Raw genomic sequence first — 20,651 nt, 5'->3', positions numbered from 1 at the left:
CCATTTCACCCAGTGACCACAGGCCCCTGCTCAGTCTTAGTCCCCACGTGCTTCTCAAAGTATGGGTATCTTGAGTGCACTTCTGCTATTTAAAGACATACCTGTTGTGTTACATGTTGTTCTCCAATGTGGTACTTTCCTATGGGACTTTAAGGATGATTTTGACTGAAGTTTCATCTTCCACTCGAACTCTAGAACCCATCCCACTGTAAAATGCAATTTCCTCTATTAACTAGATGATAGTTAATGGCTTGCCCCCATTGATCCTGGGAAGCCATCTGGTCTTACGATTCTGTTCTACTGACTCAGTTTTCATTTTTTATGTGGAACATTTAAGGAATAAAAACCAATGTGCCTCGAGGTGGATTTTGCCTCTTGTTTTACATTGTGATTCCAGAAACTGGTTTTAATTCAACCCAGTAGTGAGAAAAATAGCTCTGACTTACATAGCAAGATCTCCGCACTTCCCTACTCCACATACTCATTTCCTGCTTAAAACTGCCCAGATTAGCATTATCCTCAGCCACTCTCAGTGGGAACCTGGTATTTGGAACATGGCCCAACACCCCTTACATTCTAGGAAGAGTGGGGGCAGTTCCCAGGCTCTTTTCCTGACTTTGTGACCTGGGACACCTGAAAGGTTTGTTGTAGACAGGAAATAAGGCCATGCATGTGGCAGTAACTTGTAAAATAGAAAACATGAGGTACATTTTTAGTGCAGTTGCTCCTTGCAGAGTATGAAACAAAAATACGGAGTTGGGGGGCAGTGAGGGGAGCTTTCTCTTAAACATGCCAAATTCTCTCACCTATGGTTCTGCCTGGAACATTCCTCTCTGCTCTTCACCTTCAGGTCTGGTTTTAGTTGTCACTTCCCTACTCCCTCTGCTGGAACCAGGCACGCCTCCTTTATGCTTTCCTAGCCTCCTTTGCTCACCTCCATCCCAGTGCTGACAGCACCTTGTGGCAGTTCTCTGCTTGTCCGTAACCCACCTAGCCTCCAACACAAACCTTCACCTTAAGTCCCAAGCATGTGAGGACTGGGCCTGTATTGTTCTCTGCTGCAACCTACGAGATCACCATGAAGTTTCACCAATCAGCTCATTTTGAGCTCCCTGCCAGTTTACAATCCTCACACTTGTCGGTTTAGCCCCCAAATGGCTATGACACCATGCAGATTAAGCCCTCCGGACTCACACAATGTAGTAGCCATTTCAATTCACTCTTGAGCAACATTTCAATTCACTTGTGAGCACATTGGAGTACAACATACAGGACTAATATTTGGTCAGAAGGACTTTTGTCACTTACCTCATAACTCTACATGTGGTGACCTGGTTAGAAAATACTTATTGGGCTGAATCAATCACACTCAAAGCAGCCAAGAACAAATTCATATATTAGTTGCCAAAATAAGCCATATGGTATACATGGATATTAAAACAAAATTTCACCTTCCCTGCATGCCCTTAATGGCAGTTTAAAAAGAAGAAACTTAAATCTGAGAAGATTCTTGTATAATATAGATGGTCCTATCAACCCAGCATGGTATAGATTGGTATTTCCCAAAATTCTTCTGTTTGGGGTCCTTTTACAAACTCTCAGTACTCATATATTAAAAGCTCTGAAACTCCTACTTAACATTGCCCAAGCCAGTTTCTCCATGCTATTAACCAGCATATTATAACAATCCCCAGAACTACTTGCTCTGGGATATATTTATTTATGGAAAAGACCAACCAGATGAAATATCAGAAGACTGGAGTCCCTGTTCCAACACCATTAGCATACTGGACAAGTCAACCAAATATTTCTGTCCTACCACCTATCGCATTTCATCCTTCAAAAACACTTTGGGGTACTCATAGAGAAAAAAAGAACATCTTTCCAATATGAAAACATAATTTTCCAAGTGTTTCTGATTCATGATTAAATCTTTATTGGCATGACTTAATTAGCATTCCCCACTGTGTTAATTCAGGGCTGTCTTTATGCCTTGGGGAATCAGCTCAGTGGTGATTTGGAGAAGCTATGGGAAGGAGGACTTCCAACAGCTGAAGTTTAAAAAACTAAACAAAACAAAACCCAGCTTACATCCATCCGCGTATCCCAACACTAAGCACAGCCTTCTCACCCTTTCCAAACAACTCCCTATGCTGCCCCCTTGTGATTTCTTTCCCCTTTGAGGACCCCAGGGGAGAAAAGTCTTCTCCGCAGTCCTCCCAACTGAAGCCCTCGGCTAGCCATTACTTACTTAACACACTCAGGAGCCATTTTTCAAAGGTGGATCCCAACTGTGAGCACAGCTTCAAAGTCAGCAGAATAACTGGCTATGTCTGTGTGGGCCTCAAGGGAACTTGGAGGAGAATAAAGGGATCAGTTCAAACTTTCCTGCTTCACTTTCTTAGAAGTGTAGCTCACTCAAATCAATCTGCTGAAAGCTCTTCTAAAGTCTAAAGGGGTCCAGACTACACCACTGTGACATAAAAATTATTTTGAGCCAGTCATTTAAAAATAGGCTTTTTACTAAACTCCTTCATCTGTCTTAAAAGCAGTGTGCCCCAAAGGAACTCTGGAGTTTCACAACCAGGGAAGATCGACTCATTACCATAACTAAATAGACACTGGCATAAAACTACCACATCTCCTATCTAGTCTCTTAAGGGCTGATTTATCTCTCCTAAAGTCGTGGTTTCCAGCAAATGCTCTTCTCCTCTTCCGCCTTCCCCTACTGAGATGATGTATAGGCCCCCAAGTCTAACTGCCTCCTGTCACATTTTTCTGTAAACTCCCACAAATGTCTTTTTGTTGCTCATTTGTCTTTTACATTTAATTTGCAAGCCCCCAGTATATAACCTAGGAGGGTAGATGAAAAGTTTTCCCTACCCTAGAGTCCAAGAGAGAAAAAAATTATTGTTAAATATTTGATCAATGTTGATTACACATCTTATTATCCCAAGATAAATTTATAATAGAATAATACTTATAATCTATATGCAAAATGTCATAGTATATTGGGACCCTTTGTACGATAAAATGTATGCTACATTTATTTACCTGAGGCATAATTTTATAACATTAAATGATTATATGTGTTTATCCTTTCCATCTAACTCTTCCTCTGTCTGGAAGTCTTTTCACGGATATCTGCATGGCTCACTCCTTCACTTCATTCAGGTCTCTGCTCTCATGAGGTTTATCAGACATCCCAATTGCTGCACTAAAAAGAGCAGCCCATCCTCTAATGCTGTCCCCTTTACTGGGTTTTATTTTTCTTCAGAGAACTTATCTTCATTTGACACGTTTATCATCTGTCAGGCTCAACGAGAACCCCACAGCTCTGTAGAGCAGAAACTTTGTTCAATTCACTGTTGTATCCGTAGTACCGAGAACCTAATAGGTGCTCAATAAATATTTATTGAATGAGTCACTCTTTCCAAAACAGTAGAGCACTCTTCCCTGTTATCTTGTTTACAAAAACAAAACAAACCCTCTATCTCAGAAAGGGAGAACGTTTTTCTTTTTCTTCTACAAAATTTCATGAGCATTAGATTTGATTAAAAAAGAAAAAGGAAAAAGATGTTTCACCAAGAGCATTAGTGAAGCCAAGAAAGAAAAAGTCCCAAGCAAGCTGATTTAAGTATTTTATGTAACAAAGATTGTTTAGTGACTAAGTGTCCGGCTCTAAAAAAGAGTCCTGCCTATTCTCTCTTTCTCACTTCTCTCGGCAGGTCCCCTTCCTGAAGGGTAGCCCCATCTTCTATCGCACACTATCCGCTCTTCAAGACATAATTGGTTTTAGGTGCAGGCACCTCTTCTTTCCCAATCCAAAATGTTCTCTCTCTCGCTGAGCTCAGCATGTTTTCTAATTCTGTTCTTTGTATGTCTATGTGTTTCTTCTGTCTTATCTCCCCCAAAAGATTGTATGCTCCTGGATGGAAAGGACAATAGGTTATCCATACTGGCATTCAGTGCTGATTCAAAATCAGAAAGTGTAAACAAGGGGAGAACAATTGTTCAAAGCCCACCATAATTCATTTTATATTTATTTATTTATTTATTTTTGAGACAGGGTCTTGCCATCGCCAAGGCTGGAGTGCAGTGGTGCAATCACAGCTCACTGAAGCCTTGACCTCACAGGGTGAATGTGATCCTCCTACCTCAGTGTCTCAAGTAGCCGAGACCACAGGCGCCCGAAACCACACCAGATTAAGTTTTTTTATTTTTTGTAGACAAGGGGTTTCACCATGTTGTCCAAGCTGGTTTGGAACTCCTGGGCTCAAGTGACCCACTCAAGTGCGGTAAGCCACCATGCCCGGCCCCACCATAATTAAAAAGTGGTTTTTTTTTTTTTTAAAGTGGGGGTTACAGCATGTTAAAAAGTGACTTGGGCCGGGTGTGGTGGCTCACGCCTGTAATCCCAGCACTTTGTGAGGCCGAGGCGGGCGGATGATGAGGTCAAGAGATCCAGACCATCCTGGCCAACATGGTGAAACCTCGTTTCTACTAAAAATACAAAAATTAGCTGGGTATGGTGGTGCACGCCTGTAGTCCCACCTACTCAGGAGGCTGAGGCAGAAGAATCACTTGAACCCAGGAGGCGGAGGTTACAGTGAGCCAAGATCCTGCAACTGCACTCCAGCCTAGGGCAACAGAGCAAGACAGTGTCTCAAAAAAAAAAGTGACTTGAAGGTGTTTCTCTGCCAAGTCATCCCTGCCCCAGGGATATAAGGTTTAAAGTTAAAGTAGCAAGGTGTCTCCACCTAACTCCAACTACCCAAGAGTCTCAAAACCTTCCCCTTCCTGCTCAGTGTTCTTTTATTTCCTTTTCAAGAAATGTGAACTGCTATAGCCAGAAACATGTTCCTTCAGCAGTGTTTGCAGATGGATCTCATGAAAGTTCAGAAAAGGGTGGTTCACTTCAAGCGGGAGACAGTGGAGTTCCTCCACTATAAGGCGAAGTTTGCAAAGTCCCACTAGTTTGCTCTGAGAACATGAGACCCTTAACCTCTGGGTCATGTGTTTGAGGTCCATTTTGGTGCAGGCATCACCTGATGCTAAAAAAGGATCATTGTTTAGTGTGGGGTTCTTAACTTGGGATGCTTACATCCCCTTCCCCTACCTCAAGAGGTCCTTGGGTAGAATTCAATGGGATCCATGAATATGAATGACAAAATAAACAAAACAATCTTTATTTTCACTAACATCTAACTGAAATTTAGCACCTCCTTTTATTATAAATGTAGGAAGCAAACCACAGTATTATTACTACTACTGCTACTATTACTACTACTACCTAGGAATTTATCATCAATAAAAATTATATTTTCATATCCTATTATAGTTATCTCAAAATACTGAGATTGCAGACGTCTCAAAACATCATTTATACTCACCACTACTTTGAAGTAAGGCAGTATTAAATCCTCCACAAATCTTCCTATGTCAGTAAAGAAGCATTATCTTGATATATCACAAATCTGGTTTTTTAATATTTTGATTATACTTCAATATAATTTTGCTTCCTTTGTAATGGTTTGTATTTTGTTTTATTCACTTAAAAATAAAAATACTCTGCCCGGCACGATGGCTCACACTTGTAATCCCAGCACTTTGGGAGGCAAGGCCGAGGCAGGCAGATCGCTTGAGCCCATGAGTTCGAGATCAGCCTGGGCAACTTGGTGAAACCCCATCTCTACAAAAAATATAAAACAATTAGCCAGGCATGGTGGCATGCACCTGTAGACCCCAGCTACTTAGGAGGCTGAGGTGGGAGAATCAACTGAACCTGGGGAGACTGAGGCTGCAGTAAGCCACGATCGCGCTACTGTGCTGCAGTCTGGGCAACAGAGTAAGACCATGTCTCAAATTTTTAAAAATATATATTCTGAGAAGGGGCTCCACAGTTTGCACAAATGAGTAGCAAAGGAGCCGTGACAAAAGAATCCCTGTAACTTGACAACAACAACAACAACAAATACCCTCCTTGCTCATAAGTTCCCACAAAGGTATTTATTTTATTTTGCTTAGGGTGGTGATAAATCATCCTTCAAAACATGCACACATTCATTTGTGAGCTTAAACTCTCCTCAATTTCTGATGCTGGTCATTTGCAGATCATTAGACCCAGAAGTGATTTTTAGAGACCAGGAATAGTTTCAACTAAAGAATTCGTTGGGATTCTCTTGGACTTTTCAGTAACATGGGCCAATAAAATTCCTTTTTCACTTGGAGTAATCCAAGTAAGGTTTTTGTCATTTGTACCCAATTGGGCTCTGACTAACACGGAACCCCTCTATATTGGTTGAGGCTGTTGAGGATTAGAGGAAGGTGGGAGACCATCTGGGTGGCTCATATCTGCATCACGTTGGATTGTGTCCTAATACCAACAAAACATTGATAACACACCTATCATTCGAACAGTTTCCAAGTGAGGTACTTGTAAATATGTTGTTTCATCTAATCCTCACAACAGGCTCTTCAGGTATGTATTATTCCCAACCTTTGTGGATGAAACAAAAAAGGACTAGAAATTTGTATTTGTATCTAATCTAAACTCCCTCAATTTGTATTCATTCTGCTAAGAATTCCTCCTACCAGACAAACCCACTCTGGGAACTCCAAGTCATTCTTTAAGACTCAATTCGGCTACCACCCCTCTATGGAGCCTCCCTCCCTTCATCTTCCCCTCCCAAGTACAGCCCCTCAGGTTAAAGACACCTGCACATCCCTCCATCACAACACCTGACACATTGTGCTGTCTGCTTACTCCTGTATACCACCCCTCCCAGACTATGTCTTTCCCAAGGGCAAAAATATTTTGTATCTCAAGTACAATGTCTGAGGCAAAGCAAGCACATAATAAATGTTTGATGTGAATAAATTTATTGGTCACCAGCTACATGCTGGCTTTAAATCAAGTGCTAGAATACAAAAGTGACTCACAGTTCAGAGCAAATAAACAAGAATTCATTGAATGCTACATAGTCCTAGGCATTGCAGATACAGGTAAAACACAGGTCTGACTTAAAGAAGCTTACTCTCTAGTTGGAGGCCGTTGACATGTAAACGGAAAATTTCACTAGAATTTAATATATATATTCTAGAATTATCTATGGGAAAGGAGCACTTAATAGGTGGAGAAGAGTGGTAGGGATGGGGTGTCAAGAAAGGTTTCTGAAGATGCCATCTGGACTGAATCATATCACAAGAGAAAGAGTAGCATATTTAAATCCCGAGTGAGTAGAGAGAGTGAACAAAATCAGAGAACAACCTGAGCGTAGAAACCTAGGGAATAGGCCAGGCGCAGTGGCTCACGCCTGTAATCCCAGCACCTTGGGAGGCCGAGGAGGGTGGATCACCTGAGATCAGAAGTTCGAGACCAGCCTGGCCAAGATGGTGAAACCTCATCTCTACTAAAAATATAAAAATTAGCCAGGTGTGGTGGTGCATGCCTGTCATCCCAGCTACTCAGGAGGCTAAGGCAGGCGAATTGCTTGAACCTGGGAGGCAGAGGTTGCAGTGAGCTGATTGCGCCACTGCACTCCAGCCTAGGCGACAGAGTAAGACTCCGTCTCAAAAAAAAAAAAAAAAAAAAAAGAAGAAGAAAAAAGAAAGAAAGAAAGAAGAAAGAAACCTAGGGGATAGTCAATGTGCAGCCCATGAAGGAACTTCCAAAAAGTGTGAGTAGAATCAGGAGAGTAAGCAAGGCCAAGGGAGGAAGAACTTTACAAGAGTACAAAATCAGCACTGCCAAATGCAGCAGAAAGGCCAAATAAGATTAGACCAGAGTGTATTCCATGAATTTAGCAACTGGCAAGTCCCTAGTAACTTTGGCAAGAGCAATTCTACTGGAGTAGTGGAGGGGGCAGAAGCAGTGAAATGGCGAGTAAACCGGAGGTGAGAATGAGAAATAGTGAATGCAGAAAGCTTTTACAAAGGTTGGCTGAGAGAAGAGCAATAGGGCAATGGCTAAAGGGTGATGAAGTTTTAAGAACTTTTTTTTTTAGTCTTAACTAATTCTTTCCTTCCCACCCCACACTACTCCCAAATGGACAAATTTCCATCTGGGCACCTAAAATTCCCACTCTGCTGTAAGCTCCTTAAGGACAACTCTTGGGTCTGCATCATCCTTTTAGTCCACACATTTCTCTGAACATGGTATTCAACAGGATCTGTTGAATGACTGACTGAATAAATGAATGAATGAATGAAATGCAAATTCAGCACAGGTGGTAACAGGGAAATGATCTACTGGGATACAGCTATTGTCTGTTCTTCTTTCATGGGAATTTGCGCTTGTCTGAAAATTCAGGACCACAAAGTAAACAAATCCAGGCAATCTTCTCTCACTGATGCTTATAAATGTTTGGCCCAGGAAGGCAGATGTAGATAGAGCCCAGTTTAGATTTTGGAGCCTGGAAAACAGATCTTCAAGATCAAGGGCTGTTCATTCTTCATTCTCAGGAGCTGTTCAAGTTCTTGGGATTGGCAGATCTATATTGGACTCTTAGTGCTGCCATTATAGTTTTTGTAAATTATTTAACCTACCTAAGCTTCAGCGTCCTCGTTGGCAACTTGAAGATACCCATAATAGCATCTACCTTATAGGGCTGCAGGAGGATAAATGAGACCCAGAAATGAAGCGCTTACCATAGTGCTTGGCAAATAGTACTCAATGTCAACAAAATAAGATAAATAAAGTACTATTAAAATGAATAAAAATATCCATTTCAGGGGATGCGTTCCAGAAGAATTGGGCATAAGTCAAATCTCACTTAAAATATAGAAAGAAAACTTGGTCCTCAGAACTCCTTAGAAATGTTTTACAAAAGTAAGTGAATAATTAGCCCCAACTTATCAATCCACTTTTTTTTTCTTTTTTTTTTTTTTTGAGACGGAGTCTCGCTCTGTCGCCGAGGCTAGAGTGCAGTGGCGGGATCTCAGCTCACTGCAAGCTCCGCCTCCCGGGTTCACGCCATTCTCCTGCCTCAGCCTCCCGAGTAGCTGAGACTACAGGCGCCCGCCACCACGCCTGGCTAATTTTTTTTTTTTTTTTTTTTTTTGTATTTTTTAGTAGAGACGTGGTTTCACCGTGTTAGCCAGAATGGTCTCGATCTCCTGACCTCAGGTGATCCACCACCCTCAGCCTCCCAAAGTGCTGGGATTACAGGCGTGAGCCACCATGCCCGGCCCCACATTTCCATATATCAGATTTACTGAAAAACTTTTTTTTTTTAATTTCCCCTATCCGAGTGGACCCGCCCAATCAAGTCAGTTAACTTTCCTTGGCCGGGGGCGGAACCAAGGTGTTGCGGTAATTTCCTGGCCTGCCACGACTGCTTGCTTGCGTAAGGGCGTCTTTGGGTATGTTGCCATTCTAATGAAAATTCAGCTCCAGCCCCGTCGGTGGAACAGATCCCGGGCACCACTGGGCAGAGACTAGATGTTTCAAACGCCTGCCCCCCAGCAAGCAGGCCGCGCAAAGGGCAGGAGTTCGGAACCAAGGCAAACTAGGGGGCGGGGAGAAAAGATTGGCACCCGCCTGCTGAGATCTGCCAACCTGACGCCCCAGGGGGATGGGTGCTCTCGCCACCCTTGCCCCACAGTGTCGGGCTCCGAGCCAGCGGGAAGCGCCAGTCCTAGCCGAGAATAGCAGAGGAGCGGGCGGGATGCGAGGGGGCTCTGGGCGAGGCGGCGGCAGTCTAACCTTTCCTGCTTAAGGCGACAGCACTCTGCGCCGTAATCGTATCTTCCAAGGCTGCAAGGTTAGGGCAAATGTCAGACGCCTCGGGAGGGGCGGGGGACGGGGAGAGGGAAGGCAGCGGCTAGAGACGGAGAGTCGGGCGTGACCTTGGGAGGCTCCGCGCCCGCACCTCCCGGCGCCCCGGGAGTCAGGCGAGCAGGTCTGCCGGGTCCCGTGGCCACTTTCCCCAGCCCGGCGACCTCCGTCGGGCCTCCAGGCCAGAAGAGCGAGCGCGAAGGAGAGGGAGGAGCGGGAGGTGGAAACCGAGGCGGCAGCGCGCGGAAGCGGCCGGCCCCGAGCGAGGGAGGGCGCCGCGGGCCGCACGTCGCACACGCGCCAGGGTGCACAGCGGCGCGGGGCCGCGCATCCCTTACCCCGTTGGCGGCAGCGATGCGAGCGATGAGCTGGATGGCCTCCTTCATGTAGAACCGGCCGTCCCCGCCCACCACCAGCGTGGCCTCCTGCCGCTGCGCCGGCTCCACGGTGGAGATGATACTCTGGATGAAGTTCTCCGCGTAGTTGGCGCTGCTCTGGAACACCTTCACCCGCTTCCGCAGCCCGCTCGTGCCCGGCTTCTGGTCCTGGTACGCCTGGGTCTTAACTGTCACGATCTTCACCATGGTGGCGACTTGCTGCCGGGGGTCAGAGCGGCGGACTTGGCTGGCGGAGGGGCGGCCGGCTGAGGCTGCAGCTGCTCTGGGGTGAGGGCACGGCGGGTGGGGGCTACGCCGCACTCTAGGCCGGCGTTTGGCCCTCCTCCTTAAAGGGACAGGGGACAGGGCCCTCCCTCCGCGCCAGCCCACCTCCTGGCAGGTCCGGCGGGAGGGGAAAGGGGAGCGCCGGTCTCTAGGCCTCCTGTGAAATGGGTGGAGCCTTACTGATTTACTCTCCCCTTCGGAATCCTATCCACTGTAAAAAGAGGCCCGCAACTCCTCCTCTAAGTGTTGGGGCAGAGGTTGGGGTAGGAACCCGGTCATAGGGCAAGGACGTGAGGCAGGGTGGAAAAAAGTACAGGGTAGAATGATTTCCAGTGGTTTGGCGAATGCATCGTGTGTAAATAGCTTTCTGGAAACCTGTTGGGAGGGTCAGAAGTGCCAGCCCCAGCTCGATTTCATGAGTCGTAATTCTTTCTATTTCTCCCTAAATGTGAGGGCATTTGAGTTCCGTAAAGGAGTCGACTCCAAATGTTTCCTGCTGCACCACACACTTGACTACCATTGGTGACGGTGACTTAGCTATGACTTGCTGAGTGTAGCGTTTCTAAACCTTACTAAACTCTGGGTTTTATTTTTCCCCTTTTTATGCTTACAAAACTGAAATTCAAAGAATAAAATGCCTTGTCTCATTGCCACACAGCTAAGTCCATGCGGGAGGCCAATTCAGGTGGTCTGGCTCCAAAACCAGGGCTCTTCCCATGATTTGCCCGCTGTGACACCAGGTTGGCAACTAGGAAATGTACAAGCAGGACTTGACAAATGTAGGAGCAAATATATGGTAAGGATAAGTATGAACACCATCAAAATTAGCCAGTTACTCATGTAATAGAAATAAAGTGAGGAGATCAACAAACAAGGACTGACATGGCTGGAAAAGTTTCACGGGGGATAGCAAGGTCAACCAAGGGGATTTGATTATTAAGTAGGAATCTTCAGTCTTTCTTGCTTTTCGGTTTAGTATCTCCCTTAATTTGATGAGAGTGATTGTCTCCTCTGTTCAAGAAACCTGTCATTTTGGTAAAGTGGCAAAAAACTTGGCTTTACAAGGTGTGTGCTCTTGGGAAAGTTAGTTAATGTCCGTGGGCATCAATTTCCTTACTGTAAAATAAACATATCACCTACTTTGGAATATTTTTGCAAGATTTAATGGGGTTTTGTATGTCAGAAATTCTCAGTCATGGATACACAGTAGAATCCTACTGTGACCCATGCTCACAGTAGAATTACTTGAGGTGGTTTCTAAATGACCCAGTCCAAACAAATTCAATCATAATCAGCTGTTAGAAGTAAATCATCTAGCCTGGTGCCTGAAACATAGAGGCCTTCAAAAATATTAGCTCCCCTTCCCCAATTCCAAAACCAGAGCATATCATTCACCTGTGAATTATATTCTTTTGGTAGTTAATTGGTATGTCTTGATCAAGCAGGGAGGCGAACAGACCCATAAGAGTGCAGACTCTCACAAACCAAGTGTTGATATACATGCTCATATAGTACATGCTATGTAGATACAGTGTGTTGATGTAGTCACTATAGATGAGTTTCGGTGGCAAATATTATGTGAAAACGGAACCCTGGACTGCTAGTAATGAGTTCTAATATTTGCACAGGAGTTTACAGAGCAGTGTAATCTTGTGAATTAAATAATATAATCAAGCCCATTTTATAGACGAGAGAATTGAGGATTGGATGGTGAATGTAATCAAGGTTATCTAACTCCACAAAATGAAAATATAGCATAGATTCACTGAGCCTTCAAAATACCTACCTTAGAGTTGTATGGTTTAGATAGAGAATATACAGCTCCTACCACAGTGCTAATAAGTAAGTCATCAATAAATGATAACTTGTAAAGTCACGGGCCCAAATTCAGATCTCATGCCCTTTCTATATTCTTCAGTATCTTTGGAAATATGATGGAGCTTTTCATTTAAGAGGAATTGATCTATACTTCTCTCACCCCAGAAGTTGTAACAATTAGCTTTAACTGCATAACACACCAGTCTAAATCTGAGTGGCTTAAGACAACCCCCATTCATGATTATAGTTCATGATTCTATGAGTTAACTGGCAGTTCTGCTGTTCTGGACAGGGTTACTGTGGCCCCTTATACAGACCTAACATGATCCCCATGTTCCTTGCCTCCTGATAATCATGCCTTTATGCAATCCCCTTGTATTACAGATTGAGTATCCCTTATCCGAAATGTTTGGTACCAGAAATGTTTCAGATTTTAGATTGTTCCGGATTTTGGAATGTTTGCATTACAATGGTTGTGCATCCCAAATCCAAAAATCCCAAATTCAGAATGTTCCAATGAGCACTTCCTTTGAGTGTCATGTTGGCACTCAAAAAGTTTTGGATTTTGGAGCATTTTGGGTTTGGGATTTTTGGATTTGGGATACTCAACCCGTACTTTTCTACTGCTGTATGACAAATTACCACAAACTCAACAGCTGAAAACAACACCCATTTATGATGTCACAATTCTATAGATAAGAAGTCCCAATTCTATAGATCAAAAGGTTTGGCCAGGTTCAATCCTGGTAATCACGGATATATAACAGCTTATAAACATCAAGGAGAAAGTATTTTGACCTTCATTAAATTCTTTTTAAGGCAAGCATACCTGTTTAAACTGATTTGTCTATAGCCAGTTGGTTTAATTTCATTGAATTCTTCCCAGAGCCTCAAGATAAGAACCCACCCAAGCTTGGTGCGTTCTTATCTGGAGCCTCTGGGAAGAACACCTTGATTTGAAGTCAAGAGCCAAGCTGGCTTCTTATCTGGAGGCTCTGGGAAGAATTTCTTTCAAGTGTTAAAGATAAATAAAAATAGAGGCTCCAGTTTAGATATTTTAAGTCCAACCACCCATAGCCAGGTAGCCAAAACTTAAGTCATCCTTATTTCCCTGAAACACTTGCTCTAGACATAAACAAAACACAAAATGTCCTTGACAGTGTGAGTCAATGAAATTAAACCAATCAGCTATAGACAAATCAGCTTAACAGCTCTACTCGCCTTAAAAAGAATGTAACGAAGGTCAAAATACTTCTTCCTCAATGTTTATAAGCTGTACTGTAACTGCTGTGAGCTGGGCTTCTTGCCACTTTTGGTTAGATGTCTTCCAGTTTGTAAACTGTTCTTTGTATGCATGCTAAACTTTTAAAAATTTTTAAAGTTTGATCTGATTTTAACACAGCGCATTCAGATTGCTGGCAGGATCTATTTCCTTGCAGTTGTAGGATTGAGGTCCCCATTTCTTAGATTAGACCTACCTGGATAATCTCCCTTTGTAACGTGTTCATAGGAGTAATGTATCATCGTATTCACAGGTTCTACCCACGTTCAAAAATTGACTTGCAGAGATTTCCAAGTTGTAGTATTTATGAAAAGCAAGAGAAGGAGTCTTATTCCCCTGTGGGTAGCACTGAAATCGGGAAAGAAGCCATTGGAAATATACCAAGATATGCAACAATGATTACCACTGAGTTGCAAGATAGGGCAATGTTTATTTTCTTTATATTTTATCTGGATTTTCCAGGTTTTCTATAGGGAATTTGTATTATTTTTAAAATGATAAGTACATATTATGTATTTTCCTTTTCTTTGAAATACCTTTTAAGTGGTAATCCTTACTTTTTTTTTTTTTTTTTTTTTTTTGGAGACAGTCTCACTCCATCACCCAGGCTGGAGTGCAGTGGCACGATCTTGGCTCACTTCCACCTCCACCTCTGGGGTTCAAGCAATGCTCGTGTCTCAGCCTCCCAAGTAGTTGGAATTACAGGCACATGCCACTATGCCCAGCTAATTTTTGTATTTTTAGTAGAGATGGCGTTTCGCCATGTTGGCCATGCTGGTCTGGAACTCCTGACCTCAAGTGATCTGCCTTCCTCGGCCTCCCAAAGTGCTGCAATTACAGACATGAGCCGCCACACCCGGCCCTCATTATTTCATTAATGAATTATTCTTTACCATTTAGATGTATTCGTTCGTGTATTGATTCATTAACTCTATAAATATGTTTTGAACTTGTACTAAATGACAGCTCTTTGAAAGGTGTTTGATGAATAAGACAAAATAGTCTCGGCCGGGCGCGGTGGCTCACGCCTATAATCCTAGCACTTTGGGAGGCCAAGGTGGGCGGATCATGAGGTCAGGAGATCGAGATCATCCTGGCTAACAGGGTAAAAACCCATCTCTACTAAAAATACAAAAAATTAGCCAGGTGTCGTGGCAGGTGCCTGTAGTCCCAGCTACTCAGGAGGCTGAGGCAGGAGGATGGCGTGAACCCGGGAGGCGGATCTTGCAGTGAGCCAGGATCGCACCACTGCACTCCAGCCTGGGCAACAGAGCGAGACTCCGTCTCAAAAAAAAAAAAAAAGCAAAATAGTCTCTGGTCTCACAGATCTTGCAATATGTTGCAGGAGACAGATACTGAATAATAAATCATAATTGTGATAAGTGCAACAAAGAAGTATAGGTGCTGTTAGATTGTAAATAGAAGGATCTATCATTGGAGAGAGTCATGGACAATATCCTGGAGAAAGTGCTATGTAAGCTGAGGGATAAAACAATGAGTAATAGTACCTGGCCAGGTGAAAAGAGAGGAGGAGCATTTCATTCCAGAAAGAACGTTAAGGGAAGTTTAAAGTAAGAAGGAATCTAGTGTCATCAATAACTTGAAAAAAGACAGTTAGTGTAACTGGAGTATAAAAACCTCGGGGTGGAATGGTAGGTCTGATCATATTGGGCCTTGTAGGGGATGTCAGGTGTTGAGATCTTTATCATAACAGCAGTGAACAAACAAAAGCATTTTGTTTTCATTGTGGCAAGACATACGTAATGAAATTTACCATTTTAATGATTTTTAAGTGTACATTCAGTGGCACTAAGTACATTCACATTGTTGTGCAACCATTGTACCATCCATCTCCAGAACATTTTCATCTTCGCAAACTGAAACTCTGTACCCATGAAACAGTAACTCCCCATTCCCTCCTCCCTCCTACCCCTGAAAACCACTATTCTGTCTCTATGAATTTTACTATTCTCAAGTACAATCATATTTATCCTTCATTTGCATTCCAATTGCAATGATTTAAAGAAATGTATTTACTATAGGATAGCAATCTTTGATGACTGCAACAAATAATCAATGGTATGTATGTGAAATTTATAATAAAAAAGATGTATGGAGTTTATAATGAAAATACTGGATGGTGAAGTGGGTGATATAGTGGCATTAACATTTAACAGTTATTAGTTACATGGCTTATATAGAAACCAATTATCAAAGTGAGAAATATTGAAAAGTAATTCATTAACAACATATAGACAAAGCCTTAGCAGGCACCTATTTGGCATACAATAAAAGCATGTATCATGTTATTGTTAAAAACAAAACAGCTCTATATCTATGTATCCTCATCTTCCTGTCTGGTGGTGTCAAGTAATGGTGGAATAATCTATATTGAGGAATATTGAGGATGTCTACAGTTTAGGACTAGAATGTCCTAAACTAGTCTCTAACTAGAGACTAGTCTCTCAGTTAACAGAGCTCTAATAGAGTAAGTCAGTTGTAAATAATCTTCTATAAGAATGTACAGTTATTTGTAACTGGAAAATAATTGACAATTCCATATCAACCCAAATTAATGCTGAACAATATTGCAAATGTCATTTTAGTTCATTTATGCAGTCTAAATCATAGGTTCTTCTTGACTGCAGATTCAGTTTATTAAATCCTGATCTATTTGTAATTTGCTGAAATGACTAGTTCCTACATATGGAAGCAATATGAAACCGATGTCCGTTTGTATCCATAAGTTATTCAGGTGTTTAAAACTTTTACTTGAATAAAAGTTAATAGATATCTGCATGCTGTGATTCTGAAGTTTGTTCCTGTGCCAAAATAATAATAGTTTCTGAATTCATGTTTCAGTGTCAAGTGGTTATTCATGAGGCTATGTGTGAAAAGGATTGATATATGTGATAAATTGGACTTTTTCCTTAGAATTCATTTTTGGAATCTTCTATAAAGGATATCAGTCTGAATTAATTTATATGAATATTTGATATGCAAATATTAATATTTCAAATGGCAAAAGATAAGATTTTTAAAAATACAGATTGTGAAGGACATTTTTCAAGAGATAATGAATGTCTTCATTTTTCCATTTCATCAGTATTCTTGATTCCTTGTTAGATGCTGTGGTAGGTTAAATAATGGCTCCTAAAAGTTATACATTTCCTAATCCCCAGAATCTGTGAGTGTTACCTTATATGGCATAAATGAGTTTGCAGATATAATTAAGAATCTTGAGATGGAAAGATTATCCTGGATTGTCCAAGAGGGCTCTAAATGCAATTACAAGTGTCCTTAGAAGACAGAGAAAGGGGGACATTTGACTGCAAAAGAGGAGAAGGCCAAGGAGGCAGATTGGAGTGATGTAGTCACGAGCCAAGGAATGCTGGCAGACACCAAAAGCTGGATGAGACAAAAAATGCAGTCTCCTTTAAAACTTTCCAAGGAAGCACCACCCTGTCGTCACCTTGATTTTGGCCCAGTTATACTGATTTTGAAATTCTGGCCTCCAGAACTGTGAGAAAATAAATTTCTGTTGTTTTAAGCTACCAAGTTTGTGGTAATTTGTTACAGCACTTATAGAAAACTAATACAGATTGATATGGTTTGGCTGTGTCCCCACCCTAATCTCATCTTGTAGTTCCCATAATCCCCACATGTCATGGGAGGGACCTGGTGGGAGGTAATTGAATCATAGGGGCAGTTAACCCCATGCTGCTGTTCTTGTGATAGTGAGTGAGTTCTCACAAGACCTGATGGTTTTATAAGGGGCTTCCCCCTTCTGCTGGGCACTCATTCTCTCTCTTGCCGCCCTGTGAAAAGGTGCCTTCTGCCATGATTTTAAGTTTCCTGAGGCCTCCCCAGCCATGCAGAACTGTGAGTCAATTAAACCTATTTTCTTTATGATTTACCCAGTTTCAGGTATTTCTTCATAGCAGCATGAGAACAGACTAATACACAGATGCTTTAATTTTATGGAGGGCTATGAGCCACAAAACTTATGGCTTGATCCTCTGGAGGCCTAAAGCATGATTTCAGGTGACAGCAAGAGACAGAATAAGGAAAAAAAAAAAAAAAGGCTATCCTAAGGCTCTACAATCAATAAACACCAGAGAAATATATATCAAGTGTAGCACGAGTGAAGGAAGGAATCAAGAAAATCACGGAGGTAAATATCTCCAAATTATTATCTTGCTTAAATTATCTGAAAAACTAAGGTCAAAAATGTTTTTTTCCTTGAATTGTCTAGGAAACATAGTTCTTTGTTTATTCACTATGTAGAATTGCTGCAGTGTACTGGGAGTGTTCTGTATGCCACCTTGAGATTCTGAACGCAGTCTATCAGAACTAGTTTAGAATTGGCTGGTATTAGCAATTTTTCCTCATGACAGAACTGTTTTTCTTTTTTCCCTTGATATCACTTCCCTGGATATGATTCTTAGGTTCTGTTATTTTTCTTAATTTTGAAACCTTCTTTGAAATACTTTTATTCATACCTTCACTTACTCTCCCTTTCACCCATCTGTTCCTTTTCAAACCACCTATCAAATTTTTACTAAGCACACAGTACAGGATAGTCAGTTAGGTCCCAGATTAGCCAACCAAAATAAGATCCCTGCACTCCAGAACATTAAAATAGGGAAATCTAGACATGTACACAAATTAATAAAATATACGAAGTATAAGCTACAAAAAGGTACTGATTTTTAAAGCTAATATTAAAAAGCAAGATCTTAATAATCTAAGCTTCTACCTTAAGAAACTAGGAAAAGAACAAGTAATCCCAGGGTAAGCAGAAAGAAGGAATGAATAAAGGTAAGAGCAGAAATCAACAAAATTAAAAACAAAAAAAGAGAAAATCAATAAAACTAAATAAAATCAATAAAACTTTTCTTTGAAAAGATCAATAAAAATGACAAACCTCCAGCAAGACCAACAGAGAAGACACATTTTATTAATATCAGAAATGAAAAAGGGATATCACTACAGACTGCATTGACAATTTTAAAAAATTCTATGCACATAAATTTGACAACTTAGATAAAATGGACCAAATGCTCAAAAACTACAAACTACCAAAACTCAACCAAGAATAGGTAAACTGAATATCCTGTAGCTGTTAAAGAAATTGAATTTGTATTAAAAAAAAAAAAACCTCTTCCAAAATAAATCTTCATGCCTAGATGTTTCTAATGAGAAATTCAAGTGAACATTTAAAGAAATAACACCAATTTTACAGTCTTTTCCAGAAAACGAGAAAGCATTCCCAACTCATCTTATGAGGCCAGAATTACTCTGATACCCAAACAAGACAAAGACATTTCCAATTAAGAAAACTACAGACCAACATCCATTTTATGCAGTCACAAAAATGCTCAACAATGTACAGTTGACCCTGAAATAATATGGGGGTTATGAATGCCAACCACCCCCACAAGTGGAAAATCTATCCATAACTTTTGACTCCCCCCAAACTTAACTACTAATAGCCTATGTTGACCAGAAGCCTTATGGAACATAAACAATAAAGTTAGCTAGAGAAAGGAAAATGTTATTTGTTACCATAAGAGAACATATATTTACTGTTCATTAAGTGAAAGTGGATCATCATAAGTCTTCATCCTCATTATCTCCATGTTGAATAGAAGGTGGAAGAAGAGAAGTTGGTCTTGCTGTCTCAAGAGTAGCAGAAGCAGAAGAGGCAGGCACACTTGGTGTAACTTGGAAATACACTGTAATTTTTTTCTTTTTTCAAGACAAGATCTTGCTCCATTGCCCAGGCTGGATTGTGGTGGTGCAATCATAGCTCACTGCAGCCTCGAACTCCTGGGCTCAAGTGATCCTCTGGCCTCAGCCTCATGAGTAGCCGGGACTACAGGTGTGTGCCACCATGCCCAGCTAATTTTATTTTTTGTAGAGACAATGTCTTACCATGTTGCCCAGGCTGATCTTGAACTCCTGTCCTCAAGCAATCCTTCCACCTCAGCCTCCCAAAGTGCTGAGATATAGGCATGAGCCACCACACCCGGCTACACTGTAATTTTTGTCTGACTTTTTTGCTTTCTCATTTCTCTAAAAATGTTTCTATACAGTACAATCCATCTTCCACTGTTTGCTTTAGTTTCCATGTTGCAAAAGAAGTCAAAAGTGATCTTGAATAATCAGAACCCTTATGCCAGACTGTCTCATGTCATTTTGTTTCCTGGCACTGCTTCTTCTATGTCTTCTTCCACATCATTTGGCACTGGTTCAGAATCACTCAACTCTCTCCTGTTGTCTTAACTCCTCTGGTGTGGTGTCTTGAATTTCTCCAAGATCCATATCTTAAAACCTTTCACCTCCCACTTTTTTTTTTTTTTTTTTTTTGGCCATATCCACGTCTTTCATTTCTTTGATTAGGTCTGTCATAAATTCTGTGAAATGATGCACAACATCTGGACACAGTTTTCTCCATCAGGAATTTATTGTTTCAGGTTTGATGACTTTCATGGCTTTTTCTGTAGCATAATCAATGGTATTATCTTTATAGACTTTTATGATGTCCTTTTGTTATTGTTGTTTTAATCTTTCAGTCTTTTATTTTTATATAGTTTTCTTTTCTAAAAGGCCATCTCGGCTTCATATCATGGTTTCTCTCTATTGGGGGTTCTCATCCATAGCGTTGACATTCCTTTCCACAGAGTACCTCCCACGTGAAATGAGACTTAAAGGCCCTCATGACCTCCAATCTATAGGTTGAATTAGGAACCTTGTTTTGGGGAGCAAGTAGACCTCATTGACACCTTCAGTGTTGAATCATGGGGTTCCGTGTGGCCAGGGACATTGTGCCAGATCAAAAAAACTGTAAAAGGTGGTCGCTTACTGGCAAAGTACTTCCTGACTTCAGCGACAAAGCATTGATGGAACCAATCTAGAAAAAGGGTTCTCATTGTCCAGACCTTCTTGTTGTACAACCAAAAGACTGGCAGCTGGTGTTTATCTTTTCCCTTCAAGGCTGCGGAGGGTAGGGCATTGAAGGGGGAGAGTTTAGCACCTTTATAGATAAGGGCAATCTTGATCATAAATGTGACTGCATTCATAAAATGGTAGAGTTTGTTATCCCTTC

General features: G+C 41.6%; 2 protein-coding genes across 3 annotated transcripts in view, besides 3 other annotated features; both read right to left on the bottom strand.

The window, feature by feature from the left end:
* PGM1 (phosphoglucomutase 1) overlaps positions 1–10,440 on the bottom strand; it is a 66,835-nt gene extending 56,395 nt beyond the window's left edge. Inside the window, exon 1 of one of the 2 annotated variants that reach the window (NM_002633.3) lies at positions 10,117–10,440. In NM_002633.3, the coding sequence (NP_002624.2) occupies positions 10,117–10,362 (246 nt within the window). In that variant the 5' untranslated portion in view covers positions 10,363–10,440. Of the gene's footprint in view, positions 1–9,706; positions 10,043–10,116 lie in introns of those variants that run through there. The other variant, NM_001172819.2, reaches the window with a different exon arrangement.
* Positions 9,404–9,463: an enhancer, noted in NCBI's record as "active region_1128". NCBI's record gives its function as "activates an Ori minimal core promoter by ATAC-STARR-seq in GM12878 lymphoblastoid cells {active_cell/tissue: GM12878}" and the evidence as "EXISTENCE:reporter gene assay evidence [ECO:0000049][PMID:35858748]".
* Positions 9,824–10,123: a silencer, noted in NCBI's record as "silent region_951". NCBI's record gives its function as "represses an Ori minimal core promoter by ATAC-STARR-seq in GM12878 lymphoblastoid cells {active_cell/tissue: GM12878}" and the evidence as "EXISTENCE:reporter gene assay evidence [ECO:0000049][PMID:35858748]".
* Positions 10,164–10,453: an enhancer, noted in NCBI's record as "active region_1127". NCBI's record gives its function as "activates an Ori minimal core promoter by ATAC-STARR-seq in GM12878 lymphoblastoid cells {active_cell/tissue: GM12878}" and the evidence as "EXISTENCE:reporter gene assay evidence [ECO:0000049][PMID:35858748]".
* EFCAB7 (EF-hand calcium binding domain 7) overlaps positions 18,481–20,651 on the bottom strand; it is a 61,846-nt gene continuing 59,675 nt past the window's right edge. Inside the window, exon 14 of the mRNA XM_011542301.3 lies at positions 18,481–20,540. Coding sequence (XP_011540603.1) covers positions 20,535–20,540 — 6 coding nt within the window. The 3' untranslated portion in view covers positions 18,481–20,534. The remainder of the gene's footprint in view (positions 20,541–20,651) is intronic.

The sequence above is a fragment of the Homo sapiens genome, chromosome 1, assembly GCF_000001405.40.
Source record: "Homo sapiens chromosome 1, GRCh38.p14 Primary Assembly".
Classification (NCBI taxonomy): domain Eukaryota; kingdom Metazoa; phylum Chordata; class Mammalia; order Primates; family Hominidae; genus Homo; species Homo sapiens.
Note: the sequence above shows the minus strand (reverse complement) of the source record. Positions and strands in the feature narration are given on the sequence as shown.